This window comes from Homo sapiens, chromosome 3 (assembly GCF_000001405.40).
Source record: "Homo sapiens chromosome 3, GRCh38.p14 Primary Assembly".
NCBI classification, from domain to species: Eukaryota; Metazoa; Chordata; class Mammalia; order Primates; family Hominidae; genus Homo; species Homo sapiens.
In genome coordinates this window covers 172,615,982-172,635,155 of record NC_000003.12, presented here as the reverse complement: position 1 = coordinate 172,635,155, position 19,174 = coordinate 172,615,982, and the positions used below count along the sequence as shown (strand labels likewise).

Genomic DNA, 19,174 nt, shown 5'->3' with positions numbered 1-19,174 from the left:
AGTCTTGGCTCAGTGGAGAGAACATTCTTGGCTTTGAAGCCAGACAGCACTGGGATCTAACCCAGGACCCACCGTTGAGTGCTGCGGGGCCCTGGATAAGTCCCTTAACCTCTCTGAGCCTCAGAAAAACGAGGACAGTGTCATCTGATTGCAGGGCTGTTGCAAGGACTTAGTGAGGTGATGTGTATACAATTTTTGGCACATATTCAAAGTGCTATTTACTGACCATTCTTGCTTTTGGAGAGCAGTCATATCTCACCTGGGAATGGGTTTCTAAAGTCCAAGTATGAAGCAGAAGTGTATGGCTAAAGTTACCTTGAAGATCATTTAGTTGTCTATGAAGCTTCATGACTAGTTAGCTTTCTTTTAGATGTTACACGACAAATATATAATTTTGCACACTAGAATTACAAAATGGGGCAATGTTAACACTGTGGGGAGGTGTTGGGGGACTGAGATCTGTTGAGGTAGGGGATTCATTCACATTCCCATGACAACTTCACTCTGGCATATGCTCATTATGTAGAATGGAGGGTGCATTGCCAGAACTATTTAAATTCTGTCTCACCAAGCGTGAAGATGCTCACCAGAAAGCATACCCTGAGGTCCTACTTAAACACTCAGGAGTCTCATAATCTGCTTATTAAGTTTTTTCTGCCCCTCTCTTCTGGAAGAATAAGACTAATTTTTTTCCCCCTAGGAAGCCATGACCTTTTTGGGGGTTTTGTAGGGAATAAAAAATTAAATAAGGTTCACACATTATCCATTCATAATACCTAGGTGTCTTAACTGCCTAAAGATAGATACAAGTACAGGGTTCACTCAAAACTGAGTTGTAAACATCATACCTTTCTTAGTTAAATATCTAGCAGCTTGATAGGGTGGTGATGGTAATGATGGAGAATTATTTTTTAAACTTTATTATTTATACAGTGCCTGGTAGAAATGTAACACTTATACCATTGACAGATTCAGAGTAACACATGAAGCTACTCTACAGGGTATGGTTCCTATAAAAGAAGGCATGCAAAATGAAATAATGTATTTGCTTCCTCTTCTCTAGTTTACTCAAGATGCCAGCCTAAAAAATAAGCTCAAACTACAAGCTTTAATTTATCCAGTTCTTCAAGCTTTAGATTTTAACACACCATCTTATCAGCAAAATGTGAACACCCCAATCCTGCCCCGCTATGTCATGGTGAAGTATTGGGTGGACTACTTCAAAGGCAACTATGACTTTGTGCAGGCAATGATCGTTAACAATCACACTTCACTTGATGTGGAAGAGGCTGCTGCTGTCAGGGCCCGTCTAAACTGGACATCCCTCTTGCCTGCATCCTTCACAAAGAACTACAAGCCTGTTGTACAGACCACAGGCAATGCCAGGATTGTCCAGGAGCTTCCTCAGTTGCTGGATGCCCGCTCCGCCCCACTCATTGCAGACCAGGCAGTGCTGCAGCTCCTCCCAAAGACCTACATTCTGACGTGTGAGCATGATGTCCTCAGAGACGATGGCATCATGTATGCCAAGCGTTTGGAGAGTGCCGGTGTGGAGGTGACCCTGGATCACTTTGAGGATGGCTTTCACGGATGTATGATTTTCACTAGCTGGCCCACCAACTTCTCAGTGGGAATCCGGACTAGGAATAGTTACATCAAGTGGCTAGATCAAAACCTGTAAAGGAGCAAAACTTCCAGAAGCCTCGAGCCCCTCTTGACCTCCTACACCTGCTTTGGAAAGACATGCACTTTTTAGTTGACTAATTCTTCCTCCCATTCCCCTCTACTTGCGAGTTATGGAATTTCTATTCCATAACTGAAGTCTTTATGATAACCTAATTTTTAAAAATGAATTTGACTAACTTAAGTGCAAAACATGTAAATTTGGTTCCCAGAGTGGGCCAATCTCTCTGTTCTTGTTATCTTAGCCAACTATACTGATACCTACAGCTACAGAAAGCAGGACTAGGAACTGGAAATAACTTTGGGTCCTGCCTTCATTAGGACGTTCTTTTTAGAAGCAGTTCTTCCAGCTCTGGATCATAGAGTGACCTTTAATAAGTTAAAAAAACGAGGACTCCTTAATTCTGCTAGAGTTAACCTTGAGTTCAGAGCAGTATTAAATGCGTGCACTTTCAGGTCAGTACTGGGGACCAAGTACCCTCTGGTCTTTTGTGAATGGATGGTTTTGTTTCCTATGGGAATTTTGGCAAAGGTTTTCTGGAAAGAACAAGTTTCTCAAAGGACTTTCTTCCTCTAGAATGTTCATTTTATGAGATCGCTATCTGTAAGTCCAGTTGGATTACAGGAATACTTGAAAGTTACTTTCTACCACTATTAGAAAATATGAAGTCGCATGCACTGGATATCTATATATCATTAGGTTTTTGTTGTGTTTTTGGTTATGCTGTCCCCCTTCTCCTTGGGGAGATATTTGGGAGCAAACTTATTTAGATTTAGAGTAAACTTTTCATTATAGAGCAAGTAAAAACAGACAAATGAAACAACCTAGTGTTTCACATAAAAATACTTCTGACATAAAGTACCAAGAGCAGTGTGAATATACTTGGCATAGTCAAAAAAGAAAATACATTTAATATTAGTTCAAAATTGTTAAAAATACCTTTAGAAGGTCTAGTCTATTATTGAAAACTCAATTTTTTCACTTATATGGCTTTAAAATGGAGCTATTTTGCTACAATATAATGTATTGTTTATTTTTTTAAGTTATTTAATGTTAATATACATAGCTAGACTTAAGGTTTTTCAGAAAGATGTCCATAATAAATATTAAAAACAATGGTATTTTTTAAAAAACTGCCTTAGGGTTTTAAAACCTTCCCTACAGTTATAACCACGTGTAATTTTGTGGAAATGATATAACAGCTATTAATACTACTATAACATAGGCATAAATATTTTCGTGTTTATATGCATATACAAGTTAAAATAATTAGAAACTATGACTGCGCCTAGTAAAGTCATCTAGGTTTATAGTTCAGTAGCTTAGGCAAGGCACACACTGCTCATCTCCGCTTTTTAGGGTCAGAGGAACACAAGCTCATGTTCTGAGTGAAGGGCGTACACTGGCACCTGGTGTTGCCTAGATCCCCCATCTCCTCCTTCCAGCCAGGTCTGGAAGTTTCAACAGCCCAAGCTTAACTTCATGTAAAGTCTTCACTGCCAGTGGGAACATCTTTGACACAACAAGACACTCCAATTGTGATTTGAGTTGAGGATCTCTGCCTGCCTTCCTGCCGTCCTTCCTTCTTCCCCGATCCATGCTACTTTTAGGGGCTGCGGAGAGCAGCAGCAGAGCTGAGTAATGATACAGGGCACCACGGAGAGAAAGTAGAACCATTTCACTCCTGGGAAGATGGGGTATTTCCCACTTCCAGCAACGAAATAACAAATGAAAAGTTGCATACTTATTGATGTATTGTATGAGCCAGTAGCATTTTATGTACAAAACAGAAGTCAATGCAACAGTATGTATGTGTGCCTGTGTGTGTATAAAAATAACCATTGAAGCTAACTTGCTAATGTACTTAGGCAAGCCACTTCCCATCTCTGGGCCTCGTCTTTCCTCCCTCTAAAATCAAAGAGCTGAATTATGTGATCCTTGAGGTCTCTTCCACTTATAATACCAACTGTCTTGTCAGACTGGCAAATTATATTGGCCTCTCCTTATGTGGTGGTTTTTTTGGTAGGTCATAGTTCCTTATACACAGACACCTGCATCATCGAAGGTCTTTTTTTCCTAAAAAAAAAAAATGGGATTTTAGTTCTTATTCTGTGATAACTATCCTCCTCATATAATACTATTCTTTTTGACACCATTTGAAGGAACCAATATTTGGACCTTATTTTGAGGTTGTCTGTCTCGAAGAAAAAGAAAATAAAATGTATAGGCAGGGTTCCTTCAATTGGCATTTTCCCCAGAATTGTGAGCCAAAGCCTATAGTAATTGCAGACAGCAAATGATTCCGGATCTCTAAAAGGCTCTCTCAGATGAAAAGGGAGTAAAGGAAAAAAGAGGTCAACCACTGTTTCTGATAATGTACTTGAGTTTCATTGTTCTTTTAGTTTGTATTCTTATAAAAAATGTTTACACTCTGCAGATTGATTTTTTTTTTTTAGTACTGTGGCTTTCTTTTCCTATTTTATGAAAAAAATGATAATCTTTTTGTAAAATTGTCTGTGAAATATAAACATTAATATATAAAGAAAAACCTTGAAGTGCTGTATAGTGAAGTATAAATTAATGTTTTATTGATTTGTGAAGAATTTAAGACTATTATATAATTATCTTGGTGGATCTATTTTATGCATGACCTTTTAACCTTTGACTTTGCTTATTTCCCACTACGAAGGGGAAGGTAGATTTTATGAATGATTTTAATAGCAAATATATTTTATAAAGTGAAAATCCAGTGTGGAGGTAGCAAAGCATCTATCTATTCTGAATCATGTTTGGAAATAAAATTGCTCCATCTGGGAATGTGCTTTCATTTTCCCGTCTCATTTTCTGTTTCCCATTTGAAAACAGTGTTCTCTTCTCTTCTTTCTGTATGCCAAATTGCCAGCCACAATTCTTTCCCAATCTTCTGCCCAGTGGAGTACTCCAGCTGTCTTTCCTTTAGAGAGGTGGTTCAGTGGCCTCCTTGATGACATTTGTTTCATGTCTGGATACAGTATGTGTTGCCCTCCTTTGGACTGGCTAGAATATTCATAAAAGCCAGGCAGGCCCTGGGACTATTTTGGGACCTTCAATACACATGTTAGGAAAAGGATGATCATAATGCCAAGAGTTTGAGCTGAATTGTTTCAGCCAAAGCATCACTATCACTGAAGGCAGGTTCTCAAACTGACCTTGTCATTACAAATAAATCTAATTTCACACTTGAGTTTATTATGCTTAGTTTATGTCAATACCAGAGGAATTTATAAAACTTTTTTTCAGAGTGAATTGTTTATATTCTAAATGATCCACATACAAGTGTGTAAATTTGGTTTTCCTATTCTGTTATAGTTACTTTCATGTCCCCTAACAAAACCTCTTGGTGTGTGGTTATATTTGGCTGGATGGATCCCCAAACAGCTCCAACACATCTCCTTTGGGGCATTTAAATGTAAACTGTATGTGTGTTTTAATATTGCTTTCTTGTTATTTTCATTCTCTTTATCCCCTATGTTTTTAATTTTTTTTATAACTCAGATTTTCTAATGGACCCCCTATTGAAACATCTAGAAGATACAGATATCAGTACCAGATGTCTCAAATCCAAAAGACTGGAAATGTAAATATGATTTCTAATAGGCACACATGGTAGCTCAGTGCTGTCAGTACATTTTGTGTCATCAGAGTGAGAGAGGTTGGTGACAGCATTTGCACGCGTCTTCATTTGAAAGGCTCCTCTCCCACATTTTCTCATGGCTGACTCATTGTTGGCATCTTAGATTAAATGCCCCCGCCTCAGAGAAGTCCATCTCAGCCAGCCAGTCTGCCCAACCCTCCCAATCACCACCACTGTCCCCATCCCCTGGCCCTCTCATCTGATTGCGACACTGATTGTTGCTGTTCCATCTCACTTCTGATGATCATGTCTGTATGTATGTGCTTGTTTTCTTTTCTCCCCGTGCTTATTTGTAAGCTCCACAAGGGCAGGAACTTTGTCTTTCTTGGCCTTTCCTGTTTTCTCAGCACTTAAAACAGGGCACACAGTAGACTTTGAAAAAACGATTTTGAAGCCTCCTTCCTGAGTGTGTTTCTTCGCTGTAACTGCCATTTGCCATGTTCTTCTCTTTTTGCGGGGAGTGAGAGGGAGAGGACATGGTCTGAGTCTCGCTCTGTCACCCAGGCTGGAGTGTAGTGGCATGATCTTGGCTCACTGAAACCTTCGCCTCCCAGGTTCAAGCAATGCTCCTGCCTCACGATCCTGAGTAGCTGGGATTACAGGCACGTGCCACTGTGCCTGGCTAATTTTTGTATTTATTAGAGATGGGGTTTCACCATGTTGGCCGGGCTAGTCTTGAACTCCTGACCTCAAGTGATCCACCTGCCTCAGCCTCCCAAAGTGCTGGGATTACAGGTGTGAGCCACCGCACCTGGCCTGAGTGGTTTTTTTAAAGTTGATTTTGAATAAGTCCTCACCAAGAAAAATTAAACTTATAAGAATTGGGGTATTATTACCCTTCTTCTTTAAGAAGTAAGTTATGTCAAATATAATTAAGACTAAAAAGTAAATATTTCCAAACAAAATGAAACAACTGAAAGGAAGCCCTGTTTTTAACTACCAAATTTTAAAGCAAAAAATGCTTTTGAGTGAAGTTCTTTTTGCTTTTTGCACAACTCATGTCTGTTCTAAATTTTTCTCAGCAGATAGTTTTTGCTATGTTGAATAAACCATTGTAAACTGCACTAAAAAAATGACCTATCTAACATATTCTATAAGTGTTCCACGGAATTTTTTTTTTTTAAGAGATGGGGTCTCACCATGTAGCCCAGGCTGGTCTCAAACTCCTAGGCTCAAGTAATCCTCCCACCTTAGCCTCTCAAAGTGCTGAGATTATAGGCGTTAGCCACTATGCCCAGCCTGAAGTCAATTTTAGAGTTTGAGAATTTTTGTTTTTGTTTTTGAGACGGAGTCTCGCTCTGTCGCCCAGGCTGGAGTGCAGTGGCGCAATCTCGGCTCACTGCAAGCTCCGCCTCCCGGGTTCACGCCATTCTCCTGCCTCAGCCTCCAGTAGCTGGGACTACAGGCGCCCGCCACGACGCCCGGCTAATTTTTTGTATTTTTTAGTAGAGACGGGGTTTCACCATGTTAGCCAGGATGGTCTCGATCTCCTGACCTCGTGATCCGTCCACCTCGGCCTCCCAAAGTGCTGGGATTACAGGCGTGAGCCACCGCGCCGGGCCTAGAGTTTGAGAAATTTTAACCAGACAAGCCAATCTACCACGTTTTTTTTTGTGTGTTTTTTTTTTTAATGAGATAGAGTCTCACTGTGTTGCCCAGGCTGGAGTGCAGAGGCACGATCTCGGCTCACTGCAAGCTCCGCCTCCCAGGCTCACGCCATTCTCCTGCCTCAGCCTCCCGAGTAGCTGGGACTACAGGCGCCTGCCACGATGCCCGGCTAATTTTTTGTATTTTTAGTAGAGACGGGGTTTCACCGTGTTAGCCAGGAAAATCTCGATCTCCTGACCTCGTGATCCACCTGCCTCAGTCTCCCAAAGTGTTGGGATTACAGGCGTGAGCCACTGCGCCCGGCCAACAGCAATCTACCACTTTTAAGATGTGGTTTTCCCTTTTTGTTTTCATTATTTTTTTAATAGAGAAAATGTTTTTCATTCCAGTTAAATTCATGAAATCAAGAAATAATACTTATTTTGCTTAGCTGCAGGTTAACGTTATTTTAAGTATTGTACTTTAAGATAAATGGTTTACTAAGCTGAGTAACAACTCTCCTGCTTACGTCATTTCCACCAGTCTCACAGAATGAAGTTAACTTCCTTCTGGATAAAGCCAGTGTTTCTATTTGTGTCCTTAATCCAATTCATTATTGTCTCACTCAAGGACTTGCTAAAGTACCTCCCTTCTGTCCTGTACCTTTAACTCTCCGTTTCTACTCACTCCTTCCTCTTAGCTCTATAAATACAGTCAAATTTGTCCTCTCAACAAAAAACTCCCCTTTGACTTTTATTTTCCTTCTGGCCCAAACACTGAATTGTCCATAGTTTTAGAAGTTGACAAATATCAACATCACAAAATTCTACTTCATGTGATTTCCATTAAAGAAAAATTTTTGTGTGTGTACACACACACCACATACACCAAAGGAGAGTTTAAAATTATACATGATGCAATAGGGTTTTGGTTATCTATTGCCAAGCAACAAATTATTATGCAACTTGCAATTTAAAACAGTCATTTGTTGTCTCAGAATTCTGGGTGGACTGAGCTTAGCTTGGCGGACCATCTGCTAAACTTGATGTTGCCTGTGACTACAAACTTCAGGGTCCCACTGAGCTAGAACCTCCATGATGGCTCACTACGAGGCTGGCAGTGGTGCTGGCTGTTGGTTGACTGCCTTGGATCTCCTTTACATGGCTTTCCCTTCTGAATTGTAATACTAAAAGCATGGCATCTGGATTCCAAGATAGAACATTCTCAATATGCAAAAGCAAAAAGCTTTGTGTCTTCTAAGGTCCAGATTTGGAAGTTATTCAACATCACTTCCACCATATTCAGTTGGTCAAAGCAAATTATAGGACCAGCCCAGATTTAAGGAGAGGGGAGACAGACACCATCACACAATGGAGGGTGTGATTAAGAGTTTATAGCCTTTTTTTTTTTTTTTTTTTTGAGACAGAGTCTTACTCTGTCACCCAGGCTGGAGTGCAGTGGCGCAATCTCAGCTCACTGCAACCTTTGCCTACTGGATTCAAGCAATTCTCCTGCCTCAGCCTCCCGAGTAGCTGGGACTACAGGCATGCGCCAGCACGCCCAGCTAATTTTTGTATCTTTAGTAGAGGTGGGGTTTCACCATGTTGGCCAGTCTGGTCTTGAACTCCTGACCTTGTGATCCACTCATGTCAGCCTCCCAAACTGCTGGGATTACAGGCATGAGCCACTGTGCCCAGCCTATAGCCATCTTTATTGCACCACAATTCTTTCCAGAGGAGAATTCCATTTTGATTAGTCATTGAAAAGAACAAAATTCTCTTTACATTTTTTATGTCTGATGATTGAGAGAATTTTTCACAGATTGACTCTGACCCCAAACATTTCTAACATTGTTTTTGCTCCACTCTGCTGAAATTTATTTTGCTTAGTGCTATTGAATAAGTTCATATTGCAATACATACGCCCTCCACTTCAGCAGAGTATAGAATGGGATATTCCTGGAAGCTGTTCCTCTCCTGGATAAGTCAGCAATAACTTAACTGAAGCAGCTGCATATAATAAATATATCCTTCTAAACTCAAGCTAAATGTATCCCCAGCTCAATTTTTCCTTAGCGGATCCCCAAAATGCCTGTAGCCATTCCAAGCCATCTAACGTGGAGAATCACAATGGAGGAGAAGTTGTGGTGGGAAGAGTCAGTGATACTAACTGCAGTTAAAAAGTATTTTTACCTATGTGTGTTTTTAAAAAGCAACATCTTGTGTACCTATAAAAGGGGCTTATTCAGATAAAGGGCCCTAAACTCAAGTTTTATGGTAAATATGCTCATGCACAAGATTGAGATTTATACATTCACCCTCCTTCCAGATGTCTCTCCTGAGCCATCCTTAGGCCTACCAGGGCAGCAAGCCTCAATCTAAATGCATTACCTTCTTCCCTGAAGTGCCATTGCATTATATGGTCCCTATGTCATTTGATTGTATCACCTTCTCTTAGGTCTCTAGTTACTCAAGCTAGAATTATAAGTTTTATTTATTTCCTCCAGTCCTTCAACTTTCAATCAATCACCAAGCCCAATCAGTTTTACTTCCTAAATATTTCCCAACACCATTCCCTTTTTTTTCCATCCCTGGACACACTGTTTTACTTGAGTCATCACTTCTTGCCCAAACAATTGCAATAACTCCCTAACTACTTGTCTCCCTCAGTTTCATGTTCCTCAAATGTATCCCCTCCACAGCTGCAAAAACGATGAATTAAAACTCACACCTGACAAGATACTTCTCAGCTTCAAGTCCTGTTGCCTACTGGCAGGTTTCAAGCCACTTAATGTTATGTGCCCGGCTCTCCCTCGTGACCTTGCCCCTGCCCACCTCTGCAGCAGTAGTTCCTTACGTGTGGTCTGGGGACCCCTTGGGGGCCCACAAAATCAAAACTATTTTCATAATACTATGTTATTTGCCTTTGTCACTTTTTCTTTCATGAGTGCACAGCGGAGTCCTCCAGCAGCTACAGACATGTGATGTTGCAACAGATCCAAGGCAGAAGCAGGTGTGAGAATCCAGCTGTCTCTAGTTAAGCTAGACATTAAAGAGATTTGTAGGCCCGGGCGTGGTGGCTCACGCCTGTAATCTCAGCACTTTGGGAGGCCGAGGTGGGTGGATCATCTGAAGTCAGGAGTACAAGACCAGCCTGGCCAACATGGTGAAACCACGTCTCTACTAAAAATACAAAAATTAGCTGGGCGTGGTAGCGCGCACCTGGAGTCCCAGCTACTCGGGAGACTGAGGCAGGAGAATCACTTGAACTCAGGAGGCGGAGGTTGCAGTGAGCCGAGATCGCGCCACTGCACTCCAGCCTGGCGACAGAGCGAGACTCCGTCTCAAAAAAAAAAAAAAAAAAAAAAAAAGATACTTGTAAAAATATAATACAACGCCACATTTTTCACTAATTTGTATTTGAAAAATTCAGGATTTCTTTCGTAAAATAGAGCTTAAGATAACATGTAATTAAATACATTAATAACTACATTTCAAATTTATCAGCTTTAGTCTCCCTCCCTCCCTCCCTTCCTTCCTTCTTTTTTTGTTTGTTTTCCTCAGGGTCTTGTTCTGTTACCCAGGCTGGAGCATGCAGTGCCACAATCTTGGCAAACAGCCTCGACCACCCAGGCTCAAGTGATCCTTCCACCTCAGCCTCCTAAGTAGCTGGGACTACAGGTGCATGCTACCATGCCCATCCAACAGTTTCTTAAAAGTAAATAAACATCGGCCGGGCGCGATGGCTCACGCCTGTAATCCCAGCACTTTGGGAGGCCGAGGCGGGTAGATCACGAGGTCAGGACATCGAGACCATCCTGGCTAACAGGGTGAAACCCCGTCTCTACTAAAAATACAAAAAATCAGCCGGGCGTGCTGGCGGGCGCCTGTAGTCCCAGCTACTCTGGAGGCTGAGGCAGGAGAATGGCGTGAACCTGGGAGGCGGAGCTTGCAGTGAGCCGAGATCACACCACTGCACTCCAGCCTGGGCGACAGAGCGAGACTCCGTCTCAAAAAAAAAAAAAAAAAAAAAAAAAGTAAACATCAATAAATGAAGCCCACATAAACAAAAGCTCTTCGTGGGGGAGGGGGAAGGGTCCTCAATAATGTTTAAGATTGTAAAGTCCTGAGACTGAAAAGTTTGAGAGCTGCTGCTCTGTAGCATCCTCTCCTGGCCGTCCCTGCACATCGTGCTGTGGTACAGCTAGCCAACCCGGAACTTATTACCGCGGTTCTGTTCGTGTTCCGCACATGCGCCATGTTCTCTTACCGAACACCCTTCCTTCTCCTTAGAGTGCTTTTCACTGTTCTTGTATTTCTTTGCCAGCCTCCTCCAGGAGCCTTTCCTAACTCCTTTCTCAGGAGGATTTAGGGGTCGTTCCTCGGGTCTCACACTGCACTCCACACATGACATGGTAATTGTCTGCAGGTAGGTCTGACTCCCTCACAAGACTAGGACCCTTGATGTGGGGGTCACGTCAGCCTCACCTCTGTGACCCCAATGCCTGACATGGTGCCTCTTATAAGCGCTCAATAAATCTTTGATGAACAACCAACTGTATCATTCTTCTTCCTATTAACAACGCATAGTTTTCAGGATATGTAAAATAATGCCTGATACTTTTGTATATATTCGCTTATTTATATTCCTGAGATAAAATATCTGGGGCTTTCTTTCCTGCATGAGTTTTCTTTCTACTAATGTATTGAAAATCTTATTTGGTTAAAGAGTGAAATTCCAAAGCCTATAATATAATAGACATTTAAAAATTTAAAGCCATTGCCAGTAGAGGGCGCCTTGAAAGTCAACGACGTTCGCCATCCCATACACTGCGGTTTGTGTTTTGTGTTTCATCTGGATTCTTTTTCTTTTCTTTTCTTTTCTTTTTTTTTTTTTACAAAAAAGAAAGAAAAGATTTATCAATAGCTTTCTTGTACTTTTTGTAAAAGGTCAATAAAAGTCATAGTTCATCACAGGATTAAGTTGGGTTGTTTTTTATAAAATAGAATTGAAAATTCTCATAACTACCTGATTAAAAAAATGACTGAGTTCTCAAAACAAACAAAACAGGACTTGCATTAATCCTTTGTTGAAATATGACTCACCTCTCTGCTTGCCAAAGTGTTTTATTTTTTTTTAACATGCTTTTATTCAAGGTAGATATTTGCCATCCCTTTGCAGAAAGGCTGACAGAACAGTGGTGGTCTGCATTTTTGAGGGACCGTTTAGTGTAGCAGGAAATATACGACCTTTATCTTTTCATTCTGTTTGCTGGCAAACCCCAGGCACCCAGCACTGCATTATAGAAAAACTGCCTTTGAAAACAACAAATAAGGCAGGGAGGGGTGGCCTTCAAAAGCTGGGGCACAGGTTCCAGCAAACAACATCCAGCCACGATGTTTGTGGAACTGCCATATTTTTAAAAACAGACATAAAATGATTAAGAAGGAAAACCTCACCATTCATTTCATGTAGAAGAGAGGAAATATCATGAACTAAAATTTGGGAAACTGTAATCCCAGTTCCAGCTCTGCCAGTAAATATCTCGGTAAATTTAAGTTTTTATTGGGGTTTTGTGTTCCCCATCTTAAAAGTCATTTTATCTAAACCTCTTTCTTACTCCCCCCAAATACTTGAAACAGCTTATAATTAAACAAAAAATATAATGAAATTGTGACACAGAAATAGTAGCTCTGTATTAGTGTGTTTTCACACTGCTATAAAGAATACCTGAGACTGGGTAATTTATGAACAAAAGAGGATTAATTGACTCACAGTTCTGCGTGGCTGGGGAGGACTCAGGAAACTGACAATCATGGCAGAAGGTGAAGGGGAAACAAGGCACATCCTACATGGTGGCAGGAGGGAGAGAAGAGCACAAAGGGGCAAGAGTCTCACACTTATCAAACAACCAGATCTTGTGAGAGAACTCCCTTATTATCATGAGAACAGCATGGGGGAACCACCCCCATGATCAAATCACCTCCCACCAGGTCGCTCCCTCAACACCTGGGGATTACAATTTGGATTACAATTAAAAATGAGATTTGGGTGGGGATACAGAGCCAAACCATATCAGGCTCATAGCCAAGGAAATGAACAAAAATATGCTAACTAGAAAAATCAGTTTATGTGGTTGAACTTCCAGTTTGGCCCTGAGGACCCTGGCAGTCAAGGCAAAAAGTAGAAAATTTAGTCAGTGACTCAGTCTTTATTTTAAACAGGAAGAAGTCTTCTAATTTCTCAGAGTTGATCATCTTTCTTTATCAATAAATTCTAAAAGAAAATCCCGACATGTGACCTACTGAATAATGTCCTCAATTATTTTAAAGCAATACAGCAGGAACTTTCACGTAACTATTTATTTAATGAACCTCAATGAGAACTGTGGACGTGACTTTAAACATCAGTGTAACCATATATTGAATCAATAAAAGTAACAGTGTTTGTCCTACTACTTGTCTCTAAGGACTATTAAAAATAAAGCTGTAGAAGGGCAATTTAAAAAGGTTTGAGTTAAACCAAAGTCAAATGTTAGATATTGTCAAATATATCCCTGGATGTGTATTGATGATAAGATAATCTGCTTTCTGATTTTCTTTTATTGGGGCTCATGGAAAAAAAGAAAATGTTATAGGTGCATATGAAAATTATTAAAGATTGGCTGGGTGTGGTGGCTCATGCCTGTAACCCCAGCACTTTGGGAGGTCGAGGTGGGTGGGTCACCTGAGTTTGGGAGTTCAAGACCAGCCTGACCAACATGGAGAAACCCCGTTTCTACTAAAAATACAAAATTAGCCAGGCGTGGTGGTGCATGCCTGTCATCCCAGCTACGCAGGAGGCTGAGGCAGGAGAATCACTTGAACCTGGGAGGCAGAGGTTGTGGTGGGCTGAGATCATGCCATTGCAGTCCACCCAGGGCAACAAAAGAAAAATTCCATGTCAAAAACATTTTAAAAAATCAAGAAAATTATTAAAGGTTATACAGAAAGTTGTTAATTCATTACCTCTGAGGACTGGGAACAGAGATCTTAAGGGAAGAAAAACTTTTTTCCCCCAGTTTGCTACTCTCTGAAACATTTGAATTTTTTATTAAAAAAATTTTTCTGGAGACAATGTCTGGCTATGTTGCCCAAGCTGGAGCACAGTGACTATTCATCGGCATGATCATTGTGCACTACAGCTTCAAACCTGTGGCCTTGAGTGAACCTCCCACCTCGGCCTCCCCAGTAGCTGGCCAAGTGTGCACCCCTGCACCTGGCTTTGAATTTTTCATGATGATTTATTATTTCTTATTTTAAAAAGGGAAAGAAAAGCTGGTTTACCCATAACTAATACTCTGTACAAAATCTACAAAAGGACACAAAATTTGCATTTTAGTTTTCTTTTAGTCATGATTTAGTTCATCACTTGGCAAGCTATCTCTTGCAAAAAGCACTCACTCAAGATAGCTTAAGTAGAGTGAGGTTTATCATAGGGATACAACCAAAAATCTCCTGGACATCCAAGATCACAAAATAAAGGAAAGCTTTCCCCTCAGAGAGCTTGATACAGAAAATTCAAGACCCAGGCTATTTCCTCTTCCTCTCCATGTATCAGAAATGTATAAAAACAAACCAATTATGGATGGGGCATGGCACCTATTACTGACTTAACATTGTTTCTTAAGTCAGTGGTTTTTTTTTTGTTGTTGTTGTTGTTGTTTGTTTGCTTTTTGATTTTTTGAAACAGGGTATGGTTCTGTCGTCCAAACTGGAGTGCAGTGGTGCAGTCATGGCTCACTGCAGCCTCAACCTCCTGGACTCAAGCAATCTTCCCACCTCAGCCTCCCAAGTAGCTAGGACTACAGGCATGCACCACAAGTCCAGCTAATATTTTTATTTTGTAGAGACAAGTTCTCACCATGCTGCCCAGACTTAGTGTTTCTCAAAGGTTAACTGGCATATGAATTACTTGGGGACCTTGTTAGATTGCAGATTCTAATTCAGTAGGTCTAGATGGCCAGAGAGTCTAATTTTCTAATAAACTCCCAGGGATTTCCCTAATGCTGCTGGTCAGCTGACCACACTTTGAGTAGCAAGGCCTTACTGCACTTTGTTTTTTTTTTTTTTTTGAGAGGGAATCTGATTGGTTGCTAGCCAGCCAATAAATTGGTTGAGTGCAATCATCTGGGTCCTGCTCATATGCCCAATTAGTGGGAGCTATGGTTGGAAGTAGAGTCTCAGAATGAGAGACACGAGTGGGCAGGCAGCTCAAAAAAGATCAAACATTATACCCTTATCTGCATCCAAAGTTGCCACAAACATGAGCCAGCTATGAACAACAGAAAACCCTCTCTCCCTGTTGCAAACCTGCAACAACTCTGAGGAAAGTGGGGGGCTGCCTTCAGACTGATTCCAGGTTGTTGCAGGTTTGGAATAGGGAGAAAGGGTTTTCTGTTGTAAGTAGCTGGATCTTCCCCTAGGACCTCTGTTCCCAATCCTCAGCGGTAACCAGTTAACCCTCTAGGTGATATGCATTCTAACTTCTGGCTTGTTGTAATCTATTCCAGGTGTCTCCAGCTGATGGTGTAAGCAGAGTGTATTAGTTTGTTTTCACACAGCTGATAAAGACATATAGGAGACTAGGTAATTTATACAGAAAAAGAAGTTTAATGGACTCACAGTTCCACATGGCTGGGGAGGCCTTGCAATCATGGCAGAAGGTGAAGGCATGTCTTACATGGTGGCAGACAAGAGAGAATGATGAGAGCCAAGTGAAAGGGGAAACCCCTTATAAAAATATCAGCTCTCATGAAATTTATTCACTACCACTAGAACGGTATGGAGGAAACAACCCCCATGATTCAATTATCTCCCACGGGGTCCCTCCCAAAACATGTGAGAATTGTGGAAACTAGAATTCAAGATGAGATTTGGATGGGGACACAGCCAAACAATATCACAGAGGTAGTCACGTGTAAGATGCTGCCCCAGAGATTCTGATTCAGTGAGTCCAGTTTAGGGCCTGAGCACTGGGATTCTGAACAAGTTCCAAGGGTCATTCTGATGTATTGATATACCCCAGTTTGAGACCCACTGGACTGAATTTTTAAAAAATATTGCTTTGCATTGGGGTGGAGGTGTAGGGGGTAGTGGATGGGGTTCCTCACATAAAAATGCATATGTAATCATGTTACGTCAGTGGTTTTCAAATCCTCTGGAGGGCTTCTTAAAACACAGATTGTTAGTCCTACCCCAAAAGTTTCTGATTCAGTAGGTCTGGGGTGGGACTCAATGATTTACATTTTAACAAGGACTCAAGTGATGTTGCTGACCTATGCTGCTGTATTGTGAGAGCCCCTGTGTTATGTGAAGCTGCTACTGATGATCACCTGCTTCATAAACAGGATTGGTGGAAATAGTGTATGTAAACATTTATAAAATGGTTTAGAGCTATGAAAAATGTGACACAGTACTTGGTGAATTACTCAGAGAAATGAATAGAAAATGATTTCTATTATGGCTTTTTATATTTTTCCTTTTTTTGCGGGGGGGACAGGGTCTCACTCTGTCGCACAGGCTGGAGTACAGTGGTGCCATCTCGGCTCACTACAACCTCCACCTCCTGAGTTCAAGTGATTCTCCCACCTCAGCTTCCTAAGTAGCTGGGACTACAGGTGCATGTCACCATTCCTGGCTAGTTTTCGTATTTTTTGGTAGAGAGGAGTTTCACCATGTTAGCCAGGCTTCCCTCAAACTCCTGACCCCAAGTGATCCACCTGCATTGGCCTCCCAAAGTGCTGGATTACAGGCATGACCCACCATGCCCGGCCTAATTTTTTAAGGATCTAAGATAGAAAGGCCCACCTGAGGTGCATTATATTCTCCCTGCACATGAGGAGCATAAGTCAAGTCCAGATGGGAAGGTGATGGCAAGCTCAAACAGGCCCATTTGAGGAGCATTTAATATAGGGACTCTGTGCAGAGATGTGGGCACAATTAAGGAAACCAACAAGAGGCAGTACAATGCTCTGTGACTAGTAGTAACAGGCATCCTCATCGAGGCCTGGTAAGACAAAGAAGGGAATTATTCCCCACTCTAAGAGAGGGTAGCTATGTAAGGAAAGCCTGGAGGCAGCCGTATAAACCAACAGAGAAGCAGGCATGAAAACAGGTTCTCCAAACTTCATTCTCTGATATGGTTTTGTTCGGTTTTGCCACCATATCTCTGTTTGAATTATAATCCCCATTGTTGGAGGTAGGGTCTGGTGGAAGGTGACTGGATCATAGATTTGGATTTCTCATGAAGGATTAACACCATCCCCTTGATGCCATTCTCGTGATAGTGAGTGAGTTCTTGTGAGATCTGGTTGTTTAAAAATGTGTAGCACTGGCTGGACACGGTGGCTCACGCCTGTAATCCCAGCACTTTGGGAGGCTAAGGCAGCTGGATCATCTGAGGTCAGAAGTTCGAGACCCACCTGGCCAACATGGTGAAACCTCATCTCTACCAAAAATACAAAAATTAGCTGGGCATGCTGGTGGGTGCTTGTAATCTCAGCTATTCGGGAGGCTGAGGCAGGAAAATTGCTTGAACCCAGGAGGCAGAGGTTGCAGTGAGCCGAGATCACACCACTGCACTCCAGCCTGGACAACAGAGCGAGACACTGTCTCAAAAAAAAAAAAAAAGTGTGTAGCACCTCCCCCAACTTGCTCCTGCTCCAGCCATGTGACATGCTCTCTGCCCCTTGGCCTTCTGCCATGATTGTAAGTTTCCAGAGGCCTCCCCAGACACAAATGCCACTATGCTTTCTGTACAGTCTGCAGAACTGTGAGCCAATAAAACCCCTTTTCTTATAAATTACTCTGTCTCAAGTATTTCTTTATAGCAATGCAAGAATGGTATAATACATTCTCTTTCTGACTTCATTCTTCTGCCATTGCCTCCATGTTCTAAACAGAAACTAGGGTAGCTTGTTTGTGCAGGCCATATCGGTCAGACTCTGGGCCCACAGCAGGGCAGAGTACTGCGGGATGGATCTGGAAGGGCAAATAGAAGATATCCAGCCTGCAGGGCCTGTAGACTGAACCCCACATCTAATGCTTTGCACCCTATGGTTCACCAGCACAGATAATGAAATGGTGCCAATTGTAATCCCAAAAAACACAATCCCAGATGCCACCATCCCGAATGTCAAAATCCCCAAATCCTTAATTTCTAACTGAATCCCTAAACCATAGTGACAGATTTGAAATTAGGTGCAATCAAGGCCTCTAAAAGTGAATTTCAAGGTGTCACCAATAAAGTGTGCTTTTACTGTTCAGCCCAATGCATTTGGCAGAAAATTCAGATGAGTGGATTGACCACATGATATGGCAATGACAAAAACATCGGTTTAAAATCACATTATTGGCCAGGCGTGATGGCGTGCGCCTGTAATCCCAGCACTTTGGGAGGCCAAGGAGGGCGGATCACAAGGTCAGGAGATCGAGACCATCCTGGCTAGCACCACGAAACCCCATCTCTACTAAAAATACAAAAAATTAGCTGGGCATGGTGGCGGGCGCCTGTAGTCCCAGCCACTCGGGAGGCTGAGGCAGGAGAATGGCGTGAACCTGGGAGGTGTAGCTTGCAGTGAGCCGAGATCGTGCCACTGCACTCCAGCCTGGGCAACAGAGCGAGACTCTGTCTCAAAAAATAAATAAATAAATAAAAACACATTGTTTATCTGCATTGGCATTCCTTCCAGCTGATGAAACTCCAGTAGCTTTTAATGAATTAATGCCACATTTGCTTGAAGGAGCCAGCAAAGTTATGGACTGGTTGACAAATAATTCTGTGAACAGTAGGCTAAGAAAACACTTATGTAATAGTGTTGCTGTTCAATCTCCAGTAATGTTTACAGCAAATTTGTGGTCTGTATATGAGTGCATGTGGAATGAATTGCGTGCCTCTAAAACAACATAGAAGCATGTCACAGAAGATGGAAAATTTAATAGGGAATGCTCATATCAGTGCATATGAAATCATAAAAGAATTTCAAAAGGAGCAGCACCAGGTAGAAAATGAAAGTGAATGTATTCTCCAAAAGAGTCATGCCCTAAAAAAGAAAGCAGCTGTTCACCACAATATGCAAGACTTGCAAACATATGAAGGGACTTTACAAATATTATGGGAAATGCATCTTATGAAAACAACTACACATGGATTTCAATTTTTTTCCACCAAAATTAACTCATACTAACTTG

The 19,174-nt window shown here is 41.6% G+C and overlaps 1 protein-coding gene across 4 annotated transcripts in view; it reads left to right on the top strand.

Annotated features, from left to right (window-relative positions):
* The window catches only part of NCEH1 (neutral cholesterol ester hydrolase 1), an 80,819-nt gene extending 75,912 nt beyond the window's left edge, over nt 1–4,907 (top strand). For all 4 annotated transcript variants that reach the window (NM_001146278.3, NM_001146277.3, NM_020792.6 and 1 more), the window contains one exon: nt 1,064–4,907. In NM_001146278.3, coding sequence (NP_001139750.1) covers nt 1,064–1,681 — 618 coding nt within the window. In that variant the 3' untranslated portion in view covers nt 1,682–4,907. The remainder of the gene's footprint in view (nt 1–1,063) is intronic.
* Nucleotides 4,908–19,174: the final 14,267 nt, after the last annotated feature.